Source organism: Homo sapiens, chromosome X (genome assembly GCF_000001405.40).
Source record: "Homo sapiens chromosome X, GRCh38.p14 Primary Assembly".
Classification (NCBI taxonomy): Eukaryota; Metazoa; Chordata; class Mammalia; order Primates; family Hominidae; genus Homo; species Homo sapiens.
This window is the reverse complement of record NC_000023.11, coordinates 110,431,051-110,455,111: the sequence shown is the minus strand read 5'-3', so window position 1 is coordinate 110,455,111 and position 24,061 is coordinate 110,431,051. Positions and strand designations below refer to the sequence as shown.

General features: G+C 46.5%; 2 protein-coding genes across 11 annotated transcripts in view; one reads left to right on the top strand and one right to left on the bottom strand.

Moving 5' to 3' along the window:
• Positions 1-24,061, bottom strand: part of RTL9 (retrotransposon Gag like 9) — a 97,487-nt gene that overhangs the window by 1,223 nt on the left and 72,203 nt on the right. For 4 of the 10 annotated variants that reach the window (XM_017029695.2, XM_011530999.3, NM_001385449.1 and 1 more), the window contains 2 exons: positions 9,844-9,959; positions 448-4,545 (listed from right to left, as the gene is read on the bottom strand). In XM_017029695.2, coding sequence (XP_016885184.1) covers positions 448-4,494 — 4,047 coding nt within the window. In that variant the 5' untranslated portion in view covers positions 4,495-4,545; positions 9,844-9,959. Of the gene's footprint in view, positions 1-447; positions 4,546-9,843; positions 9,998-24,061 lie in introns of all 10 variants that reach the window. The other 6 variants (XM_047442284.1, XM_047442285.1, XM_047442286.1 and 3 more) reach the window with 2 other exon arrangements.
• The window catches only part of AMMECR1 (AMMECR nuclear protein 1), a 246,048-nt gene continuing 236,865 nt past the window's right edge, over positions 14,879-24,061 (top strand). The window contains exon 1 of the mRNA NM_001171689.2: positions 14,879-15,222. The gene's annotated coding sequence lies outside the window, so the exon portion shown is untranslated. The remainder of the gene's footprint in view (positions 15,223-24,061) is intronic.

The following is a 24,061-nucleotide window of genomic DNA, read 5'->3' as shown; positions in this document are numbered from 1 at the left end:
CAAGACACTTTGCTAATTTATCTCACTTGCATACAGTGTGACCAAGGAGTAGGCTATTCTAATTCCCTAGTGACCTGACTCCACAACACATGTTGCTGTAGATGGGCCCCAGCTCCCAAAAGACCCATTTATTAGAATTGGACTTGGAACAAGGGGAGAATTGGAACTGAGCCCATCCAGTTCCCTCATAATGAGAAGAATTAGTACTTCAACTATCCCACGTTCTCAGTAACTTGGGCAGGACATTGCTCCTCAAAGTAGTTAATATACCCAAAATAACTGCAGAGCCATGCTCACTTGATGAAACTGCTGGGGTTTAATGGTCTAGGAGCTCCATGCCTCCCCCTTGCCTCTTCCCAATTCTACTCAAGGAAGCAGGATGTATTCCCTGTCGTGACCTCCTCATTTCTCTGCTCAAAAACCTTCAGCGGATTTCCCCCTCATTACCTCCTCAGTCTGCTGCTGAGAGCTCAGTTCATTCCCCATGGCCTCCTCATTATTCCGCTTACAGGCTGTTGGCAGAACCTGGCTTGAGTTGCCTGGGGAATCCTTCTCTTCAGCCAGCTGGCACTCGGTGTACAGAGACCTGTCTATCAGCTCCTTTAGGCTGCCAGCCACCTTCAGGAAGATCCGACCCATTTTGGTGGTAACAGCTTCTGAGAGTCCTTCCAGAAACCTGGTCCGTAGAATGGCATCAGACCAAGACAAATGTCGGGCCAGCAGCAGGAAGTCAGTGGCATACTGCCTGACTGACTTTTGGCCCTGTTTGGGATGGCAAAGAACAGCACTGAGGATGTCTATCTCAGATAGGGAGTCATATATGCCCTGGGATCTTCTCAGGAAAGATTTATTTTCATGTGAGAGAGGTTCTCCTACCTCCATTTGCAAGATGAACCACCTCTCTGCTGCTCCCAGATGAAGAGATACCAGAAATGCCATTCTCTCTGAATCGTCCAAAAACCCCTTCATTTGCTTCTCCTCATCAATCTCCATCTCTTCCTCCACAGAGCATGAGCCCCGGGCTGCTTCCTGCTCTTCTAAGAGGTAGCAGAGTGCTGGGGTCAACATTCCGAAGGATGGCACTTCCTTTGGTGGTGGTTTCGCAGTTTCAGGAGTTGTGGCAGTCATGTGCGATGTGGGCTTTGATCCAGAGGCTGTGATGTTAATGTGAGAGGTGGATGCCTCTCCAGAGTCTGTGGCTTTGATTTCCGGAGTGGACATCACTCCAAAGGCTGTCTGTGGTGTGGACATTGTTCCAGGGCCTGAGGCCCTCATTAGTGGTGTGGACATCCCTCTAGAGTCTGTGGCTGTCATTTGTGGCATGGACATACCCATGCCACATCCAGAGGCTGTGGCTCTTGGTAGTGGCATGGGCATCGATCCAGAAACTGAGGCTCTCATAAATGATGTGGACCTTGCTCCAGAAGCAGAGGCTCTAATTGGCGCTGTGGCCATCCTTCCAGACACGGTATATGTTGTTTGTGACAAGGACATAGATCTAGAGTTCGCAACACTGGTTTGCAATGTGGACGTTGCTCCAGAGGCCATGGTTTCCATTAGCGGCATAGACATCTCTCCAGAAGCCATGGCTGACATTAAAGGCATGGGCATTGTTCCAGAGGCCGGGGCTCTCATTAATGGCTTGGACATCCCTCCAGAGACCATGGCTGTTGTTTGTGCAGTGGACATATGTCCAGAGGCTGAAGCTCTCATTAACTCTGTGGACACAGTCTCACAGGCTGAGGGTCTCCTTAGTGGTGTGGACATAGTTCCAGAGGCTGGAGCTCTTACTAGTGGTGAGGACACCCCTCCAGAGGCTGGGGCTCGCACTGGTAGTGTGCACATGTCTCCAGAAGCTGTGGGCATCATTTGTGATGTGGATGTCACTCTAGAGTCTGGGGCTCTCATCAGTGGCATGGACATCCCTCCAGAGGCTGTGGATCTTGTTAGTGGCATGGACATTGCTCCAGAGATGGGAGCCTTCACTTGTGGCATGGATGACATCATTCCAGAGGCTGTGGCTGTCATTTGTGGAGCAGACATGGCTCCATAAGCTGGGGATCTCAGAGGCGTGGCTATCTCTCCAGAAGCTGGAGCTCTCATTAGTGGTAGGGACATCTCTCCAGAGGATGAAGCTCTTGTGAGCAGTGAGGGCCTCTCTCCAGGGTCTGAGGTTCTCATTAGTGGTGTGGACATTGTTTCAGAGGTCCAGGCTCTCACTGTTGGTGTGGACATCACATCAGAGGTTGGGGAATTCATCTGCATCCCTCCAGCGGTCATGGACTTCATGGGCGACATGGACATCCCTCCAGGATCTTGGGTGCTCATTGGCTGACTGAGCATCTTTCCAGACACTTTGGCTCTCATTAGTGAGGCAGGCATTACTCCTGGGTCTTGAGCTCTCATTAGTGGCATGGACATCCCTCCAGAGACTGTGGCTGTCATTTGTGATGTGGACATTGCTCCAGAAGCTGTGTCTCTCATTAGCGATGCAGACAACCCTCCAGAGGCTGTGTCTGTCATTTGCGGCATGGACAGAGCTCCAGAAACTGTGTCTCTCATTAGCAGTGTGGGCATTGCTTCAGAAGCTGTGGTTGTCATTTTCTCCGTGAACATCGTTCCTGAGGCTTTGGGTGTCATTAGTGGCTTGGACAATGCTCCAGAGGCCAGAGATCTCATTTGTGGACAGGACATCACTCCTGAGGCTGTGTCTCTCATTAACAGCGTGGATGTTGATCCAGAGGTTTGGGCTGTCATTAGTGGGGTGGACATTGCTCCAGAAGTCATGGCTTTCATCTGTGCTGCAGATGTCAATCCTGAGGCCATGGTTCTCATTTGTGGCATGGACATTGCTTCAGAGACAGGGGCTCTCATTTGCAGCATGGACATTGATCCAGAGGCTGGGACTGTCAATTGTGGCATGGACATTGTTTCAGAGGCTGTTGCCGTAACTGGTTGGGTGGACATTGCTCCAGAAGTTGGAGCTCTCCTCAGTGGCGTGGACATCTTTCCAGAGGCTGTGGCTCTCTTGTATTGTTTTGCCACGGCTTTCATAGAGCCTGTGGGCATTGCTCCAGAAGTTTTGGCCATTGTTAACTGTGCGGACATTACTCTAGAGGCTGTGGCTGACATTTGCTCTGTGGACATCACTCCAGAGCTTGGGACTGTCATCAGTGAGGTGGTCATGGCTCCAGAGGCTGGAACTGTCTTTTGCAATGTAGACATATTTCCAGAGGCTGGGGCTCCCATTAGCGGTGTGGACATTGCTCCAGAATCTAAAGCTCTTACTGGTGGTGCAGACATCACCCCAGAGGCTGTTGCTCTCACTGGCGGATTAGACATCATTTCAGAGTCTACATTTTGTGTTGACCATGGGGACATCGCCCCAGAGCCTGGGGCTGGCATCGTTTGGGTGGGCATCACTCCAGAGGGTAGGGCCGTCATTAGTGCTGGGGACATTGCTTCAGCATCTGGAGCTGGCTTTGGTAATGTGGACATTTCTCCAGCATCTGGGACTGACAGTAGCGGTGTGGACATTACTTCAGAGCCTGGAGATGACATTAAAAGCGATGACATTATTCCAGAGTCTAGATCTGACATGAGCGGGGTAGGTATTCCCCCAGAGTTTTGGGTGCTTGTTGGCTGGGGTGATGTACCTCCAGAAGCTACAGCTGACATTATCAGTGAGGATATTGCTTCAGAGTCCGTGCCTGACATTAGCAGCGAAGATATCTCTCCAGAGGCTAGAGCAGTCATTAGCACTTTGGACATTGCTTCGGTGTCTTCATCTGTAATTTGCAATGGGGACATTGCCTCAGAGCTGGGAGCTGGCACTGGCTGTGTAGACATCACTCCAGGATTCATATCTTGCATTAGAATTGGGGATAACTCTCCAGAATCTGGGGCTAGCATTAATGGTGTGGACATTGCCTCAGAGGATGAAGTGCTCATTATAGGTGTACACACCACTCCAGAGGATGGAGCTGGCATTGCCAATGGTGATATCTCTGCAGAATCTGGTGCTACCATTAGCGTTGCGGACATCGTTCCAAAATCAGGAATTGTCATCATCCCTGGGGACATTACCCCATACTCTGAAGTGGACAGCAATGGGGACAATGTTCCAGAATCTAAGGCTGGCATTAGCAATGGGGACAGTGCCCCAGAGTCTGAGGCTGGCATTAGCAATGGGGAAAGTGCCCCAGAGTCTGAGGCTGGCATTAGGGGTGGGGACAATGCTCCAGAGTTTGGTACTCCCATTAGAGGTGCAGACATGGTGTCAAAGACTGGAGATGTCATCAACTGTGTGGATGTCCCTCCAGGGTCTGAGGCTGAAGTTGAGACTATAGGCAACTGTACATGAGAATGCAGAATCTGTACGTCTGCTCTGGTCTCTGTCATTGGTCTACAGAAGGCCATCTGCTTGTTTTGGGGCTCAACATTTTCCTCCCTCATTGTATTGTTGAATCGCAGTGAATGTAAGGGTATTGACATATCTGCCACAGCCACAGGATAGTGTGGAGGGAGCCCAGGAGGCAAGAAAATCTGTAAACAAGAAACAAGTTTAGAGGTCAAAAGCCAGTATCAAGAAGATTTGGAAACAGACAAATTGTTCATGGTGGAGACCTGTTTTTATGCGTTGTCAGGTATATGGCATTGAAGGTGAGGCTATCAGATTAAAGAAGCTGTGAAGCAATGAACAACTTTGGAGCTGGAGCAAATGTCCCTTCTGCCTCTATCCTTTTCAAACCAACCCAGCCTCTCAGTTTGTAAATGCTATAAACGCCAGCAGCCTCCGCAGCCAGGAGCCTGGGCAGTCCTGACTCAAATAAAGCAGCAGCACCACCTTCTGGCCAAATGTGAGAAATGCGGATTCCTGGCCTGTATTCTATCCCACGGCAGTACTCACAAGCCAGCCAAGGTACTGGCAAGCCTGAATGGGAAAGTCCTTTGCCCCAGGATAATTATTAGTTCCTGGGGCTCATTGAATTCTGCCAGTGGTTTAATCCTCATTTTACTACTCTGATGGCCCTGAATGTTCTCAGGAAAAGGGAGACATTTATCTAATCAATGACTGAGAGCAACATTCCATGAACTGAAAATTCTGCTTATTATTTTCATTATTCTTATTAATAACAGCAACCACCACCCCATTACTACTATTTATTTATTGCTTCACGTAGTATGTGCCAGGCACTGTACTTTAGACAACTGTCACAACTTCCTATAACGTGAGGGCCTTTGTAAGCATTATCCCATTTGGGTCTTACAATCTCCTGGGCAATAGATATTATTATCCCCATTTTACAAGCTTTCTCAGATTAGCCAGGGTCAAGGCTAAAATAGGGTCACTGCAACAGTAACAAACTGTATAGCATTGACTCTGACCCCCTCCTGGGGGTTGCCTAGTGTTTGGCATCCCTGAGCTTGCATTCAATTATTTCTCTGACATCCCAGATCATGGGTCACTTAAAGCCCAGTGTCTGGCATGTCCAAGTTTCAAGTTTCTCTGATGCCATGGGGGTGGGCAATCCAGAGCCTCACCCCTCCAGCCTGCTCCAATAAGCAGCCCAGAAGGGGCTTTTGGACACACGGCTTGGAAGCCAATGCAAATATTACACAATGTTGACATGTCCCCACAGCCTGCCCATGCCAAAAGCAGAAAACTTGCTACTTTGGGACAATGTCACAAAAGTCATCAACCTCATGGAATTGTGATTCCATAATAATGAGAAAACCTGCAACAGAAACGCTAACAGTGAACATTTCTTTAGCATGCACTGACTGGCAAACACTCTGCTAGGCACTTTACATGTATCATCTCATGTGGTTCCCATAGCAACACTAAGAGATTTCGGTTGTACTCTTCCTTTATCTTACAAATGAGAAAATTCAGACCCAGAGAAGCTTAATAGTTTGCCTGCAGTCACATAGATTCCTGGGTCCATCCAGTTCCAGAGCCCCCTACTCTTCACCAAGGTGCTATAAAGATCCACCTCTCCCCCTTACTCAGTCACACTACCGAGACCCCTGCCTCTGTCTCCAGCCTGGACAACCCCAAGATGGGTTGTCATAAAAGAAATGCTGGCCTCCTGCTGACACCCTGGTTATTGTAATAATTGTAATAATTGGTGCAATGGGAAAGATGAGTCAAAAAAGCAGCCATAGACCTCCACCTCCCATCTTCAGAAAAATATCTGAACATGCCACAGTTTCCCACCAGGCAAAACCCAGAAAGATCTTACCTTGCCAGTGACGGAGAAGAGGGAGAGAGTATCCTTTGCGCCCCTAGCTCTTTCACTCTGGCCAATTAACTTATACCTCGTGCCCAGCCAGTTCATTAAAGTAAGACCCAGTACCAACAGCTGTTCTCTGCAATCTCCCTTTGCTATCCCCTGCCACGCCCCCCTGCCCGCCAGCCAGCCTGCCCGCCCACCCGCCCCACTGCTCCTGACTTGCTACTGCTTGCTCTGTCTCTCTGGTCCCAGATTCCTGCCTCTATATAGGCTCTGACATTTGCCTCTGGCCGCCTTTCACTTGACAGTCCTCCAGAAGCTCCGCCTTAGCACTTGGCCTATGCAACTCCACCCCTCTTCCCTGTCGCCCCCAACAGTCCCACCAGCCTATGCCCCACCCCACTCTGCCCAAAGAAAAGAGGAGATTGACACAATTAAAAAGATGAGATGAAAAGGGTCCTGGCTCAGGAAACAAGATACGTGCCCTCTGCAGTTGAACAGACACAGGAGTCCTGGGACCCAGGCACTGCAACTGATATGACATGGAAGCACAGGCAGAGGGCTCGAGGGAAAGAAACTGAGGCTGGAGATTGAGTGGAGCAGCATCAGAAACGTTCAAAGAGGTTCAGGTGCAGGGAAAGAGGGTTTGGGAGGATGGACAGTGGGGGCTGGCAAGCAAACACCTTAATAGAGCCCTGTAATGGTGATCATAACGAAGACAATTTACCCCAGGGTCACAGACACGGAGAAAAATCCAGCGACCGGTATCCCTGCCATAGGGCTAGGATTCAACAGAAAGGCTCCATGGATTTCAGACAGCTAGCAAGAAAAGCACACCAGCCTTGAGCATACCAGCTGAGGGCTTGTTCATACAAACATGGCTACAGCCTGCTTTCTAGAACTGGGGCACAAGGTCAGAGTAGAGCTAGCAGAAAGGTTTACCAGAGTACTCCAGTTTTCCTGAACTGGTGCACTCAGTCTAAGGGGAGAAACCCTCAGTCTAAGGGGAGAATTGGTCCCTGAGCCTTGGATAGGGCAAAGCCTCCAGGTGAAGTTCAAGTAGCCTAGGTATAGGGATGTAGAGTTTGACAAGGGAGGCATTCAGGTCGTTATAAACCTCATAATTAACGACCAACAACAACTGAGCACTTGGGCTAAGCACTACATATGCATTATATAATTCCGACCTCCCAGCAACACCTGTAAGGTAGGCACTGAGATCATTCCCATTTTATACATGAGGAAATGGGCTTGGAGAAGTCTATGTGACCACGGTCACATAAAATAATAATAATAATTTTTTTTAAATCCCAGATTTCAGCCCTGGCCATTCTGTTTCCAAAATATTTTTATCTCTTTGTAATCAGACAAGTGATTAGAAACTCGGAGTACTCTTCTCACTGCCATCTCCCCTACATCCCCACACCACAAAGCAAGGAAACTTTCTTACTACAAATGGCTGAATCCTTGTAGTAATAATAACAACAACAACTGATATTGCTTGAACTCTTCCCATATGCCAAGAATGGGGCTGAGGGCTTCACCAGCATTATCTCATTTGATCTTGACAATTACCCTGTGAGCTAGGTCCTTTAAATTCTCAGTATACAGGTAAGGAAACTGAGCCTCCATGAGATGAATTGACATGACCAAAGGCACACAGCTCTGTGTGACTCCAGAGCTCACTATAGCATACTACTCAAAAGAAAAATTCCAGTCGCTCTCCTCTCCCTTCAAAGCAAAAAAAAAAAAAAAAAAAAAAAAGTCACAGAATAGCCATTCTATTAACAATGGCCTCACAACAACTACTATTATTATTATTAACACACCTAACAATTAAAGCTAACGTTTACTGTGCCAGGCCCTGTGCTAAGTGCTTTACCTATATGATCTCATTTGACACTCACAACATACTACGAGGTAGGTTCTATTAGCACCTTCATTTTCCAGATGAGAACAGAGGAACAGAGAGGTTAACTAGCTTTCCCAATGTCACACAGCTACAGGGCACTGTTGTTTATTTCTAATGCAACAATTTTGGAAATAACCTAAGTGTCTAATGTTAGAACACAACTTGTTTAATGATTAAACGAATCATGGTGCAATTGTAGCAGCCACTATTGTAGCCATTGAAAATATATTCTAATGTGTACATGAGGATCTGATTATCATAAAGATAAATATGTAGATTTCTGCATAGAAAAAAAATCTGGAAGGATATATACCAAAACGCCAACAGTGACCACAGTTGAATGATGGGATTAGAGGGGATTTTTAATTTTCATTTTCCTTATCTGTATTTTCTCATTGGTCTATAATGGACCCATAATACGAAAAGAAAAAAACTAATAAAAGTTAATTTTATTTTTTTTAAAGATATGTTTCCCTAGGGTTCTTTCTCAAGCCCTTTTCACTCCTCTCCTTGCAAGCTCTCTCTAGGAATCCCGGACATCCACCCCCCGACCCAAGCAATCTTTCTACCCCGACAAGCTTAATGGTTGTACCACTTTATTTTGTGTTTTATTTTTGGTTTGTTTTTAAAAATAATTTCTTCTTTCTCTAACTTTTATTTATGTTTAGTAATTCCATAAGTAATCTAGGAATATATTCTTAGGATAAAGACTTGAAATCCTCCGTACAGACAAAGCTAAACTCCTGAAAATGCCCCACCCCCCATTCCCCGCAAGTCCCATTCCTCTGTCTGTTCACAGTTGGGTGTGTCTCCTTCCAAACTTTCTCTAGCTGCAATGGCATTCAGAGTTCATATCATTCAATTGCTTGCAAAACCCAGTGTGTGCAAAGAGCTGCAGTTAGAAAACCATGCTAGCACTGGTCACCCCAGGGTTCCAAGTTCTGACCCATTGTGACTATTTTCATCAGCCTGCTTCTAAGGAGGCTACTGAGAGAGGGTTCTTGCATGCTCAGCCCATGTGAGGCATAGACTTCCGTTCTATTAAAGCCAGAGTCTCTAGGAACACAGAGAAGAGAGGCCTTCTAAGGAAGGAAAAGCCCAGAATTTACCGCTTAGCATCTCTCAGGTCCCTCACGTCCCACCCAGTCTGCACTGATCAATACGGCTAGGAGGTGTCATGCTCCTGCCGCCTCACAAAAGGTAATTGAGTTTAGGGGATTGCATGGCTAGCTGCTCAGGGAAATAAGAATAAACAAGAGACGGTTCAATATGTCAACAAATAGCTTTCCAGCTGTTGAAAATAAGCCTTTCCCTAGATTCTCAACAATATTCTTTCCCCAAGTCCTAGCAAATAGGCATCCAGATAACTGAAAACAGACAACCTAAGGCTAAAGAAATACCTGGTCTACTTTAGGATCTTCTTCCTTCCTTGATCATTCAGGGAAGTAGAAGCCCTCCCCACTTCCTTCCTCCCCCACAGCCCTGACACTTAAAATGCGCACCGGCTCTTTATAAATAAAGAGGGGGAAATAGCTAGCATTTACTGAGTGCTTACTATTCCAGGCACTATGTTAAACACTTTACATACCTCATCTTATTTATTGAACGATAAACAAACAAAGTGGCTTTTTTACTCCCATTTTCTAAATCAGCTAAAGAACTGAACTAGAGAGAAATTAAAATGAAGTAACTTACCTTGGCTCTCACCGCTGAGAGGGAGCGAAGCTGGGCTTGTCACTCGGGTCTGTCTGACTCAGCCAGTGCTCTTAACTCACAGGAGAGTCACACACTGTCTTCAAGTCTCTGAAGGGCTGTCATATGGAAGAGAGGGTAGGTGTGTTCTGGGTAGCTCCAAAGAAAAGGATTTGACTGTTAGTTGGGAATTATGCTTTCATTGGATGTGCTGCAAATTCCCCAAACAACATGTATATGCATGTCCAACTCTATAGGGAAAAGAACATTATAAGAAGAGCAAACGGAACTGCCTTGCATTAGGTGCCGGTCTGAAGGATCTGTGGAATCAGAGAGAACAGGAGGGATACCAGAGGACTGCAAATGGGCAGTGTCCCAATTTTCTTAAATAAGGAAACTACAGACCAGTATACCGTAAACTCCAAAGCTGTAAGCTTGATGTCAATCCTCGGAGAGATTCTGCTGCAGATTGCGAAGCAGGTAATTTATAAGCACTTAGAACACAAGTGGCAATAGGAGGTACCTAGAGGTACTAGCAGAACACTCAAAATTAGACCAGGTTCCCAGACTTGCAGCTAATGCAACCCAAAATTTCAGGGACTGATATTGAACTTCCAGATTTTTATTTTCCCAAGTAAAATCATTAAGAAACAGAACAACCACAAATCATCATTTTCTAAAAAGAAGGGGCTTCCTTTCAACACCAAAAGAGAAGGAAATAACCTCAGAATAAAGAATAATACATGAAATAGATTTCTCTTCTCTGCGAAACATTTACTACCTAGTCCTCAGGCTTTCTCATTGCACGGTGGACTGCTGCAATTTTCCTGGAGGATGGGCACTTGTCCAAGGACCTGCTTTAGGGAATCACTCACAGTTAAGGTATCAACACAGATAAGATCATATACCTGTAAAACAGGAAGTCTTTCTGGCCAGAAGAGAGAAGAACAGAGTTTGACCTTAGCCTAAATGAGGACATTAACACAGATAAAGTATCCACAGGAATGGACAGAGAGAAATAAAAGTTGCCAAGTGCGGATTCAAGCCCTGCTGAGGCGGGACTTGGCCATCACATTTGACCTGTGCCACCCCTTGGACCACATGCCTCTCTTGTAGGAATAAGTGTCTGATGCCATTAAGCATTTGGACCACAAATCAGTTTCCGGCTTGAGACTCTCCAAGCAAACTTCAGACCACTAGTCTTCCCAGGGATAGTTCTTAAAGCAGAAAAATTCAAAACCAGCTGAATACCATTGCCAGAGTGGGAGTTCTGCAACAACCTAGAAGGAGGTCCATAGCCTTGATCCTCTCCTGATTAGCATTTTTAATCAATGGTGTAAATAAAGGCATGGACAGGATTCTTACACAAATTCTCTGGGGCTGAGAAGAACCTCTATGATCAGCCTAGCAAGTAGGTTTACATTTTAAGCTCCACGGTTTACAATATGTCTATCTGCATTTGGTAATTTTCTCTCATGTTCTTTGTTGCCAGAGCACTGAGTTTCTACAGTTTACGCACCTCATGGAAAATGCTTAGTGAACATATGCTAGCTTTGCACCCACCCTGAAGTGCAGATCCGATCGTGTTTACAACTACTAAGCATTCATCCCAATCTTCTGTTCTCTCAAATAACTGGTAATAATGTAGACTTCCTTGATGAGAGAAGAGAACAAACTAATGCCCTCTTCTTTACATAATTGGCCCCATTTCCAAAAGACTTTAAATTGGAATTTGACCACATCTGTTGACATTGACCTTGGTTGTGTAGGTAAAGGTAGCACAGTACACAGTACTTGCCATACCCTCTGAAACTGCATTTCTCAAAATAAAAGTGTGGTGGGGAAACCCTGCATCAAGTGCTCCCTGGGAAAACTGCTAAAACACAGATTTGTAGGGGGAGGGAGACTCTACCCACAAAGAGTCAGATTCAATATAGGTCTGGGGTGACGCCAAGGAACCTGCATTTAACCCAAGTGATTCTGAAACACTAGAGTTTCAGAACCACTGGCTTTGGGGTTCCTACACTCTCATTTTAACTTCAAACAGGCCTGGGCTTGAACCTCAATACTTCAAGTTAGTTCACCTCAGTTTCCTCATCTGTAAAACAGGCATAATAACAGTACCTACCTCGCATGTTCTTTGAATGTTTTAAACAAAACAACGTGTAAAGAATCTGGCACATAGTTGAAGTTCAGTAATCTCTCCTGGTCCTGCTTATCCGGGGTCCCTGCTGCCTGCCTTCTCTGTGTTCAGCTTCTGCCCCTGTTGCCAATTGCTCACTCTTTCTAGGTCTGGTATTCAAACTCCCCAAGAGAGAAACTCTCATTGGTCCAAATTCAGTAACTGTACTTGCTGGGCAAAGTTCTCATCCCAGGTTCCTTCATAGGCTGTTTGCCAGCCTATAGAGTGACTGCTCATGGATCAGATGCCCTCTCCTGGCTCAAGTGGCTATTGCTGGGGGAAGCAGGGTCACGTGGTACCAAGAATAGTCACCTATTCATAAGAAACTGCTACTTCCCTCAGCTAGGGTCTGTGGATGGAAACTCCTTAGAAGGGGCTTGTGGGTGTGGCAAGAATTCTGAGGCTTAGTCCATCCAGTACACCTAGGCTTCTCATTTATCCAGCCTGCCAAAGGAATGAAGTACTCAAGTTCACTGAAGTCTCTATTTAATTCTGACTTTTCATCTCCATCAGGTCGGGAATACAAGTTTTTAAAAAACTAGACCACAGTCAAGGAAAAAACAAGATATAACCCTAAAATTAGACTCTTCTGTTTCTAGAGCACGTTTTTAAGTTTCCAAAGCACTTTCACATCTATTTACTCATTGCAGAGCTTGCAAACTGGCAGCCACAGGCTAAATTCAGACTGCAGACAGAGTTTATTTGACCCGTACAACGTTTTAAACATTTTTTAAAATTAATTGCCAACATTTAAAAGTCAGGAAATTTCAGATAGAAAGCTGGATTTCTGGCTTTTCTGAAACACACACACACACACACACACACACACACACACACACACAGAGAGAGAGAGAGAGAGAGAGAGAGAAAGACTTCGATCCAAATTCCAATATAGCAACAATCAGCCAGAGCTCAACAACCTGCTCCCTGTAGGTGAGGCACGTGCTCACCAGTTTGCCTCAGTACCCATAAGGCCACCTTTACTTTTTCAGCGACCTGCTCAGTCCCTGTAGGCATTTAAAGCCTCAATTTAACCCCATGGGTTAGGCAGAGAAGGTGGATAAGAGCTGAACTGTGTGGGTTGGAATCCCAGCATTGCTCCTAACTGGCTTTGGGACCCTGGGCAAGTGATTTAACTTCTGAATCTCAGTTTTCTCATCTATGAAATGGGGATGATAATAATAATACTGCTTACCTCACAGGCTTATTGGGCCACTTAAATGAGTTAATGTATACTTAGAACAATGCCTGGTACATTACATGCACGAAATAAGTATTAACTTCCTTCATTGTCCACAATTTCCTATGTGCCTCTCTGATATCCCAAAGCTTCTGAAAACTGAAATTCTGTGGCAAGCTCATTTGGTGGCAAAACTGGGCCTGAATTGACATGAGGCTATTCATTTATCCCATTTAGAAATATTAGTGAGTTTGATCACTGGGTATTATCTTGGATCTCATTAAGGTGTGATATATATGTTATATCTACCACATTGCTTTTCTAAAATCCAAATATTTTGAACTGTAAAACATGTCTAGCTCCAACAGTTTCAGATAAGGGATTGTGGACCTGTATTATTATTAGTTTGTATACCCACTTGACAGATGGGAAAACTGAGCTACTAAGCATTGAGCTACTTGCCAAAATTCCCACAACTGAAAGTGGAAACTATTTAGACTCCTAGACATGAAGCTCATAGTGCCTAGTACTGTGGGATGTCTTGGGCTCGCCATAGGCATGTGGATGCAGGTAGTGGCTACCAATCAGGGACCTTTGAAGAACTGAAAAATGTCACCACTTACTGAGAGTGCCAAACCCTGCCCTTTATAGCATTCTTTCAACTCTCTGAGTTACTCTTTACAACATTTGGGTTAGAATTAGAATGAAGATTATTGTCTTCAGTTTACAGAAGAGGAAACTGAGGTCCAGAGAAGAGAAGTGACTTGCCCAAATTCATACAGCAAAAGACAGGCAGAGCTGGAATTGGAAACCAAATTCTGGGCTTTTTCTTCTTAAACCCCAGGGCCAGTCCAAGAATGACATATGCTGACCTTTCCACATACTGAACCACACTCTCTGCAGACAATCCTAAGGTTTTTGACATACCTGATGAAAGGAGAGTGTCCCAAGATCTCAGCAAATATAAAAATGAGACAGCATGTCTGGGTGGACCTCGTCCTTTCCAGGACCACAGGCAGCAATGTACAGACATGATCCAGTTAGAAGCTAGGGAGGGAAGATTTCTCAAATCCCAAGAAAATCACAGAGACCCTACTGTTTGCTCTTCTCTGTTGATTTTTAAGAAGCTGACATTTACTTATGCCAAAGGCCAAAAGAAATGAAAAATCTACTGAAAAGGGAATTTCATCAGACATGGAGCAATAACCTAAAGAAACCTTTGCATAGTATCAGTTCCTTTGTTTGAAATGCAGAAAACAGGGCACTGCTATTTCATATTGTTAGCGCATCAGAGACCTGGGCATGAAAACAGCATCCTTAGGACCTCTTTCCAAACCCCTGCCTCACCACAGAGGAGCTCTCTGACACTGCCACCAACTTCAGCAAGTTGGAAACAAGAAGGCAGGCCGTGACCCAAGTGACCTCATGTCACTCCTAAGCTCATGGCTTGAGTTCCTCCTACCAACAAATCTGCACTTTGATCACACACCCACAGCGACCCAGATCTTTAAATTCAGCAATTCTTTCTCAGGTTTCAGCAAGGCATTGGCAGCCTGAGCTATTTTGGGACACTTTCTCTGCTGTGGATGCCACTTTTGGAATACGCCAGGAACATGCTAAGGACCTGGAGCTCTCTACCCTGGACCCGTTTTCGGGTTTGCTTGCTCTCTCTCTCTCTCTTTCTCTGGGCTAATCGTTTAGAGGACAGTCGCTCCTGCCAACCTAATCCCATGAGCCTGACTACCTTGCCGGGCCACAGGCTCAAAGAAGCAGTGTGGCTGCCAGCACCCTCACGGTAAGGGGCACGGAGGCACCAGGCAGTCTGGCAGGATGAGAGACATCCTGGGGGTGGTCTGAGTTTGGATGTGGGCTGAGAAGACAAAGCAGGGGGCTTTCGGGGGACAAGATTTTCCAAACATCTTATTCTTAGGATCATCACTTCCTAATCTGATGCAACTGACTCGGCAGGCATTCGGGAGCCTGTAAGCTCCATTTTCCTGTTCCAAATTCTTCTGCACCTGTAAGTACCCGGCTTACTCATGCTCATGCTGTCTTTTGGGGAGGGGGAGAGGAAAGCAGGGCCTAGGGAAGGTCATCTTTATCTGACTCAGGTGTGGGCAGGTCCATGGCGTTAGAAGAATTTCTGACATCCCCACGGCTCCCCTTCGCCCGAAACTGCTTCTTAGTTTGGAAAATGAAAATGCCTGTTCGTTCTTTCCCAAGCTCACCACCCCACCGCCCCCACCACAGCATACCAGAAACTCCACCTGTCCTTTGGGGTCTTCTGTTCATCAATGTTGTGCACACCTGATTTCTTATGTTGGACTTAATGGGAGAAGTGCACCCTTGGCATTTGAATGTCTTAAATGCAACCACAGCTATTATTGTGAGCACAGCCCCTGCTGGCTTCTCCATCTTTTATGCTGCAATTTGCTGAAACAGTGAAAGATGTTTTAAGCGGTAGGGTATAAATAAAAATCTAGAAACTCCTCCATGGTAAAAAGGAAGAGCAATATGGTTAATTCTCAACGCAGTTAGAAATGCTGCCACAATGGGGAGGCTCCACGCTATCCCACGAATGGTCCCTTTCAATGCTTTCCTATTTTAATGGAAAGAGAGGCCAAAATAACTAAGGGCTCCCCAGGAAAGGAGCATTTCTGATGTTTTTACTGCTTTCCTGAGAGAGGACATTGTCTCTGGCCGGCTTGTCAGTCCCTGAAGCAGCTCCAATGGCTGCTCACAAAGGGAGAATCAGCCCCTCTTGTCCTTCTGTCGGGGACTGCTGAAGTCCCCTCAAAATAGCCCAGGATGACAAAGCCAGGCCCTGCTACCTACCCTCTTCCCCTAACACTGAGACCAAATCATTCTTAGGGGTACATAACTTGTTTGGAGGTGAGCGGGAGAAATATCTTGGCTAGGAAGCCATCTGGAAAACCTGCCACGACCCATACTAAAAACTGTGCTCTTCTCTGAACTTTCATATGACCCTCAGCCATGAATAAGAATAAAAGAAGGCAAGCATATTTTGCCCTTTTATTTCCACAGAGCACAATAGAAGGAACATTGTCCTTAGCAAAGGCAAAGGATAAGATGTTCCTTTGGCCAAGGCTGGCTGCCTTCAGTTTCTCTGATTGACAAAATAAACAGCTTCTAATTTGTGTTCTAAAAGGGCTGGTTCTGAAGAGGATTTGAGAAGAAAAATGTTAATATCAGTGCTAAAAAAAAAATCAAGACAGGAATTCCACCTTATGTCTGGTGGAGACCGGATTTGTTTTCAGGCTATAGGACAAAACTAGTCTCGGGAGGAATTTGTTTCTGACTTCACTACCGCCTGTTTGCTTGGTCCTTGGTAATTCATGAAGTTTCTTAGCTCTCCTCCTTCTAAGGAGCTCTGAGAAAATGATACTTGGATCATAGAGGTTCATTGTCTGGAAGACTTTTGATCAAAGCCCTGAGTGCTGGGGTGGGGGCAGATTACGGATTCTGATTATAACAAAAATAATCCAAGTCCTGTCTTGGCAGAAGCCTGAATTTTATGTCCACCTTGTGGCATTCCAGGAGCATTAAGAATGTTCCATTGGCCTTTCCAATCTCTCCATCCGCTCCCAAGGGCTTGAAAATTTTTAAGTATATAATTCTTTTGACTCAGGGCTTTGGCATCAGTTAAAATGCCAACCTCTTGGGAGGATCAGCCTCTTAAATCTCCCATCGTGAAAGCAGGTTCTGATAGAGGGACAAAGAGAGAGGAGGAACATGAAATCATTCTAGGTACAAACATGAGCCTCAGAACAGGAGTCTGCAAGCAGGAACCAGGCAAGGCCAAAGTGCCAAGAAGCTCTGTTGGCAGAAAGGGAAGATTCTATTCTTGCTAAAATGGGGTACAGGCAACTTATTGGGGCAGAGACTACGGATTTGGGGAATAAGACCCACTTAATGTAACTGGGGTACAAGAAGGAGGAATAATCTCATGTACTAACACAGGATAAGAGATAGGGGAACTCCCTGCAAAGGTACCCTCAGGCTGAATTACCTGAGTCACTGAACAAGGGCTCCAAAAATGTTATGAGGCCTCAGTAGATGGAACAAACAGATCTAACAATCTGCTGCCCCCTCAATCCTGGCATTTCTTCAGCCCAGAGAGAGTAGGTCAAAGGAGGGGACCACACTAAGATTTAGACTTTTGAGACCCCCTTCCCACCCTTTGCTTCCTCTGATACCCGCATTGAACTCATTCCCAAGGAGATTCATGGTAGATACAGTGATTCACTTCATTTACCAAGAGCTATAAGGTATGAAGAGGAGTTGCCCACCTACAGCCACAGGTCAAGAATGCAGCATCCCCAAAGCTCTATGTGGGCTCCTTCCTAAGGCCTAGTGGACACAGTTTGGATTAAAACCACTTGGGTGCAAATTCTGGCTCTGCTACTTACTAGTTGTGTGGCCTTGGGCAAGTGGTATAACCTATCTAAACCTCATCTGTAAAATGGGCACAGTAATAGGAGCTATCATATAATGTTGTGAAGACTGAATGTGATGATGCATGTACAGCCCAGTACAGTGTCCAGTACAAAGGAAATGCTTAATAAAAATCAGCAATGATTAACACTCCTGGCTCTCTGCTTATGCTTCATTGCCTGAGGATAGGTTATAGCAGCAGATCATCCCACTCAGTGCAAGTCTCACAACTGCAGGGGTCAGGGGCTCACCATCTCCTCCAGTTAATGTCACCCTCTCACCTTTTCTTCTCAGTCCCACTAGAGAGCATTCCTAAGCCTTTCCTCTCGCTAGTTCTGATCTGCTCCATCCCCTGCTAACTAAATAGGTGGATTCACTGCTAAAGATTCGTGAAATCACTTCCTTGGCTTTCCCCAGCCACAGACTGAGCTTTGCTACCCACCTCCTAGAGGCGAAATGGAATCACTTCTGGGAGATCAGGGTCCAGAAGGATCCAACTCCTGAAGCACTAACAAAGCAAAAGAAGCCCTACAGAAAACTTTGGGTCTCTGGTTCCTGTACAGCTCACTGCAGCTATGGCATCACTCTGAAGCCACAGTCACTCCCACTGTGACTCTCAGCTCCTCAGGCTGCTGGCCCATAGCTGCTCTCCTCCTCCAACAGCCCCACTCTCTACCTCCCTCAGGGGACTCCCTTGTCTGGGCCCCAGGGTACTAAGGCTTCCAGAGGCTTTCCATAGCTTTCTCTCTCTGTCCCTCCCCATCCTCTCCTGGGGATACAGAGTCCACTCTTTCAAGGTATGTGGTGACAAGGAGCTCAGCTTTCTGTGCAGGCATGCCCTCAGCATGTTCTCTGCATTCCAGTCCCCCTTGCTTCTCTGCTCAGCAAGAAAGAGGAGTGGGAAGCATCCCTAGTTAGGCTTATGGTACTTCTAGAATCAGAAGACAAGCCTATATCCTGTCAAAGTAGACTCTGATGATTCTCAAAGTAATTCAGCCTGAGAGTTTACTAAAATGCATATTCCAGCAGTTATCTCTATAAAGATACAGAGTGGGTTTGTGCTTCAGCCCTAGAATCTGCATGTTTAAAGAGCTCTCCTTAAGCCACACCTTAAGAAACAGTGCATTCTATCTTGGTGAATGGGGGTAAGGGGTGGGGAGGAAAGTCACACAGCTGGGTCGCATAATGAATCCCAGCCTACATCCTGACTCTCCAGGAGCACATGGAAATGCCTTCGAAGTCCTGACCCAGTCTTGTCCAAGCAGCAGCTCTAAAGATACTTCACAAAGACCCTGAGTAGTTTCACTTATCTAAACTCCAGACCTAAATCAGCGATGCTAGCAGTCTGAGGTGCAAAACGCACAGCGATTCTTCATTTAGAACCATTTTGAGCTAGTTGGGGCTATAGAAGACCTTACTGGTTAATAGCACAGTGGAGCCACACCGGCAGGCTTTGCCTCTTATAGGCTGTGTGACCTTGAACAACTTACTCATTCTTTCTGTGATTTGCTCTTTGCCTGTGAAATGGAGACAGTAATAATACCTCATAGTGCTGTTCATGTGGAATTATGAATTACTTCATGTAACCTGTGTAGAACCATGCCTCCCCTCAGCAAAATATCTGCTACTCTTGTTACTATAAATATTACACATATATATAAACAGGGTTTATAATATTTGTGAGGAATAAATGAGATGATGAGTGTAAAATGTTCAGAACTATTATTGGTGTGGTTCCAGGGATTTAACAGAGAAATCAGTAGAAGTCCTCAAGGTGTCAGAGACCAAGGCCATTCTAGATAAATATTTCTGGTAAAGAGATTGGTCAAAGGTCATTTGGAGACTCAGAAAGAAAGTGGCAGTTAGGGTTCTCTTACATCCAGAATGTAACTAAAACTCTCATGCCTAACTTGTTGCTATAGATTTGGGGATTATGGGATTTTGTTCTGGGACCTGCTAGGTCTAATTAAAGTGTTAGGACTCCTAGGAGACCAGCTGTGGTTTGCACAGACAGGAGCTTGAAAAATGCTGTCATGAATGTGCTCCCAGCTCTGCAGCAGTGGAGACGCAGTCAGTGGCACTGAGTGCTCCAGGGGTCACTGTAGAGTTGTGGTCTTTGTCCTTGCTGCCCCAAACCCACAGCTGTTAATTTATTAGGTTTTGTTAGAAGATACTCCCACACTAAAGAACTCCAGAGCTGAAGTGACTGTCCTGTCCTTGCTTCATGGCCCCTGTGCAGGCATGAGTTCTGTGCACAGAGCTCCTCCCTCCCTCCTTCCCTCCTTCCTCCCTTTCCTTCCTCCCTCACTCCCTCCTTCTTCCCCCTCCCTCCCTCCTTCCTCCTCCCCCCTCCCTCCTTCCTTCCCTTCTTTCCTCCCCCCTCCCTCCTTCCCTCCCTTCTTTCCTCCCTTTCTCCCTCTGTCCCTCCCTTCCTTCTGTCACTGGCCTGAGTGCAGCCCTGGAACAAGGACCATGATCATGAGGGGAAAGGGATGATGTTTCTGGGAAGGTCCAAAGAAGAGTGTCTTCTCACTCCGGGCTGGTGTCCCCCACCACCTCCCTCATTAAATACTGGTATTCACCTGGCTCTGTCCCTAGCCCTTGCCCTGGATGAGTAAAATGGGAGAGGAGAAACCCCATCCAGTCCCCTGAGGTCAACTAATATCCCTTGACTGTGGTGGCTTTCCAGCCCCCATGTCTCAGCTGGGCTCAAAGCCAAGATTCCCAGTTTCTTGCTGGACATGTCCGCTATCCAGCACTCCAAACCCAGCAAGTCCAAACAGACCTTGTCATCTGTCTCCCCTCACTCTCCCTCTCTACTAACAGTCTTGTGTTCCCTGCCTCAGTTGACAGTATCACCACGGACCCAAGCTGGAACCTCAGGGTCCTTGTCACCTTTTCCCTCTCCTTGACCCCATGACAGCCAGCCCTGAGGTTTCTACCTGTTGACATGTGCCTTGAGTCATCCCCTCCTCTCGGCTCTCACTGCCACGGTCGTGGTTCAGAGCCTGTTCCACTTCTTGCCCAGACCCTGGAGATGGTCTCCCAATTGGTCCGCATGCAGCTGGCCTCTCTTCCCTCCAATCTTTCAACACCCTGGTAAGGACTGTCTTCCTAGTCTGTCCCGAATCTGCCTTAATAAAAAGCTCCAGTGGCTCCCTCTTGCTCACAGAACAAAACCTTCAGCTTGGCCAATAGGGCTCTGAATAGCTGACCCCAAATACTCGTCCACTCCCCTCCTGCTGCTGCCAGTGGTGCACCCAGCTACAATTGTCCTGCCCTTTGAAACATGCACTAGGCCCTGTCACACAAATACTGCTCACTTTGCCTGGAATGTCTTCCCCTGCCTCCACTGTTCCTCCTGACATAACCTGCCATCCCTCAAGATGCTGCTCAAGCCTCCTTCATTCGTGGAGACTTCCTCAACTTCCCCAGATACGTTCCTCTACCACAGCACCTATTGGACCATGAGGGCTTATGTGTGCCTCGGTCCCTCCCACTAGATAGGGAAGACCCCAAAGTTTGCCTAGAACCATATTGAATTCCTCTTTATATTCTCAGTACCCACAAGCTTGGATAAAATAAGATACTGGTTTCCTCATTTGTAAACTGGAAATAAAAATAATAGTTGCTAAGTCCTGTAGTTAGAAGAAATAAATGAGATAATTTATATAATATGCCGATAATGACAATGAAGATGATCATGATAAGAAGAAAGGCTAGTTAACACTCATTCAGGGCTTTCTAAAAGTGTCACTGTCCTAAGCTCTTTTCATGATTGAGAGTGAGCCAAATAGATGAGTCAATCCCTGGAAAGTGATTGTGTATGTGTTTGTGTATGTGTTTGGGTGTATATATTCATGTACATGTATGATAAGCATAATACAAATGACCTATGTATAACATATAAACTTCACAATGTGCCTGGTGTTTATTAGGAGCTCCAGTTTTTCCCTTCCTTCCCCCATCTCCCTGCCCTTCCTCATTACCCTTCCTAGTCATCCTCCCATCCTCTCCTACCCCAGGCCTGCGATAAGACAGATGAATTCAGAAGGGGTTCCTGTGTCATTGTCACTGACAACAGACTGCTTAGTGGAAGAGAGAGAAGTGCTTGGAATTGCCTTTGGACTTGGTATCTAAGAGTTGTTTCCCCATTCAAGTTATCACTTCTTTGAGGATACGGGCTATGCACTACCCCTGTTTTGTCTCCCATAAGCACCAGCACAGTGGTGGGCACATAGCAGGTACTCAATCAACTATGTGACGTCAGGCTCGGCTTGAGGGTCCTGGTTTTCAGCACTCTCAGCGTTTTCAGCAATCACTGAGGCAGGTCTTGGAGCCACAGCTGACAGGTTCTCACGAGCTCACAGACAGCAGCAGCTGGAGCCACCCGGGAGCAGCCCTCTTGGCAGTGCTCTGCTGGGGATGGGCCACCAGGCCAGGAGGTCGAGGACTTGCTTCCTGGACACAAGTCTGCCACTGACTGTCTGGGTTAGCCTGTGCAAATCTCTCCACCTCCCTGAACCACAGGGTCCTCACCTATAAAATGCTTCTCCTAGAAGCGTCTGAGGATGCATGACATGGCAGCTGTGAAAGCTCTTTGCCAAAAGGCTGTGCAGAAGTGAGGTGTTGCTAATTTCAAGTGCTGGGACTTCACTCACTTGGAAACATTCAGGAAGCAGGGGTGGGGAAAGAGAGAGCAGGGACTTGCATATCCAGGACATATGGGGGCCTATATTTGTTGTCCTCCTGCTTAATAGCATTAGTGATTCAAGCTGGTGCTGCCTGTGGAACACTCTGTCTTTCGGGATCCTCAGGGACAGGAGGGGTTTCAGAGCAGCGAGGCTGCAGCCAGCACACAATACAGTGAAAAATAGAGTGATAGCAATGAGGTGCCACGCTCACAGGTTCATACACATGCATGTACACTCCTGACGGCCCCCAACGCTGCCTCACAACAGCAGCTGGGGCTAATTACAGCCAGACAGCGCCTTCTCCAGCTCTTCTCTCGAAGCTATCAACCCTCCCCACCACTACCACTACCACTCACCCTTGGGGATTGCCTGATCTCTCAGAAGGGGTGCTGCTGATGCCACAGCTAAATGCCTAGAAAGAACCCGGCAGGGGGTGTAGTGGTACAAGGGAGTAGGAAGCCGCCATGTGGCTCCCCGTCTTGCAAGTGTGGGTAGAGAGGAGGAGATGAAATGGAAGAGAGCTGGCTGAGATACAGATGCAGCTTTGTGTTAACAGATGTGCTCTCCTGGCAAGAGCGAGCCTAGGCACTTAGCCCCTCCCTTCTCCTTCATCTGGATCCACCCAGGGATCCCCTCTTAACTCTTCTCCCTCTTAAATCCCCAGCTTCCTCTTCAACTCAGCATCTGCCATAAAGCTCAAGAAATGTTGAATAAATGAATGGGTGAATAAACACATAAACCCTCCCCAAACCCTTAGTACTCCCAAACCCTGTTCCCACCTCACAGGCTGTAATGACTCCATGAGCCCTTTCCTCTGCTTTTCTTTCTATATACTCCCTTTGGACAGTGTCAACTCTCACCTAATATGCTTCTAACTCCCAAATCTCTCCTGGTAGCCCAGACCTTGCCAGCTGCCTGAATGTTTCCCCTGCTCCTCAAACCTAATGTGCCCCACACTAGAGTCTTCAGCAATGACTTCCCCAGGGGTTTTCTAGCAGTGAGTCCTGGTCTGTCAAGGGCGTATGAGAAAGAAGGGCCTGCTGTATGCGCCCCAGCAGGACAGGGGCAATGAACACATTGGCAAAGTCATCAGGGCAACCTTCTGATCCCAGGGTCTGTCTTCACACCAGGATACCAAGGTTTTTCCCATCAACCTTTTAACTGTCAGCCCTCCCTCCCACCCATAAGGAAAGCCAAATTAAGAATGAACTGCCAAATTGGAGCTAACTGCCTAATGTGGGCTTCTAATTGGAACCAGGCAAATTGTTTATATAAAGAAAAACCCTTGAAAAGGAGCCCATGTGAACTGGTGAGTTATTTCTTCTTCAACATGAGCTCTCTCTCCCAATCCCACTCTCATTGCTTCAGAATCCTGGTATTCCTCCCACCTTCATCCCTCAGCCAGCACACACACACACACACACACACACACACACAGCCTTCCCCTCATTTTCCTTCTCATGAACCTTCACTTCATGTTGGAGCCCTGTCCCCATGATCACTGCAAACCCCCAGGTAAATATTGAACCAAGATTGGTGAAAACTGGAGATATTATTCCACCAAAGCAGTGTTAGAGGGAAGGCCCCCAGAATGTTTACTGAGAGTTCACAAATTATTTCCTGATCTTGGCAAAGATAGAAAATAAAGCCCCCCTTTCCTCCAGGTCTTCCTAGATTTGGAGAGCAGCCAAAGGAATGGATTACAAACAC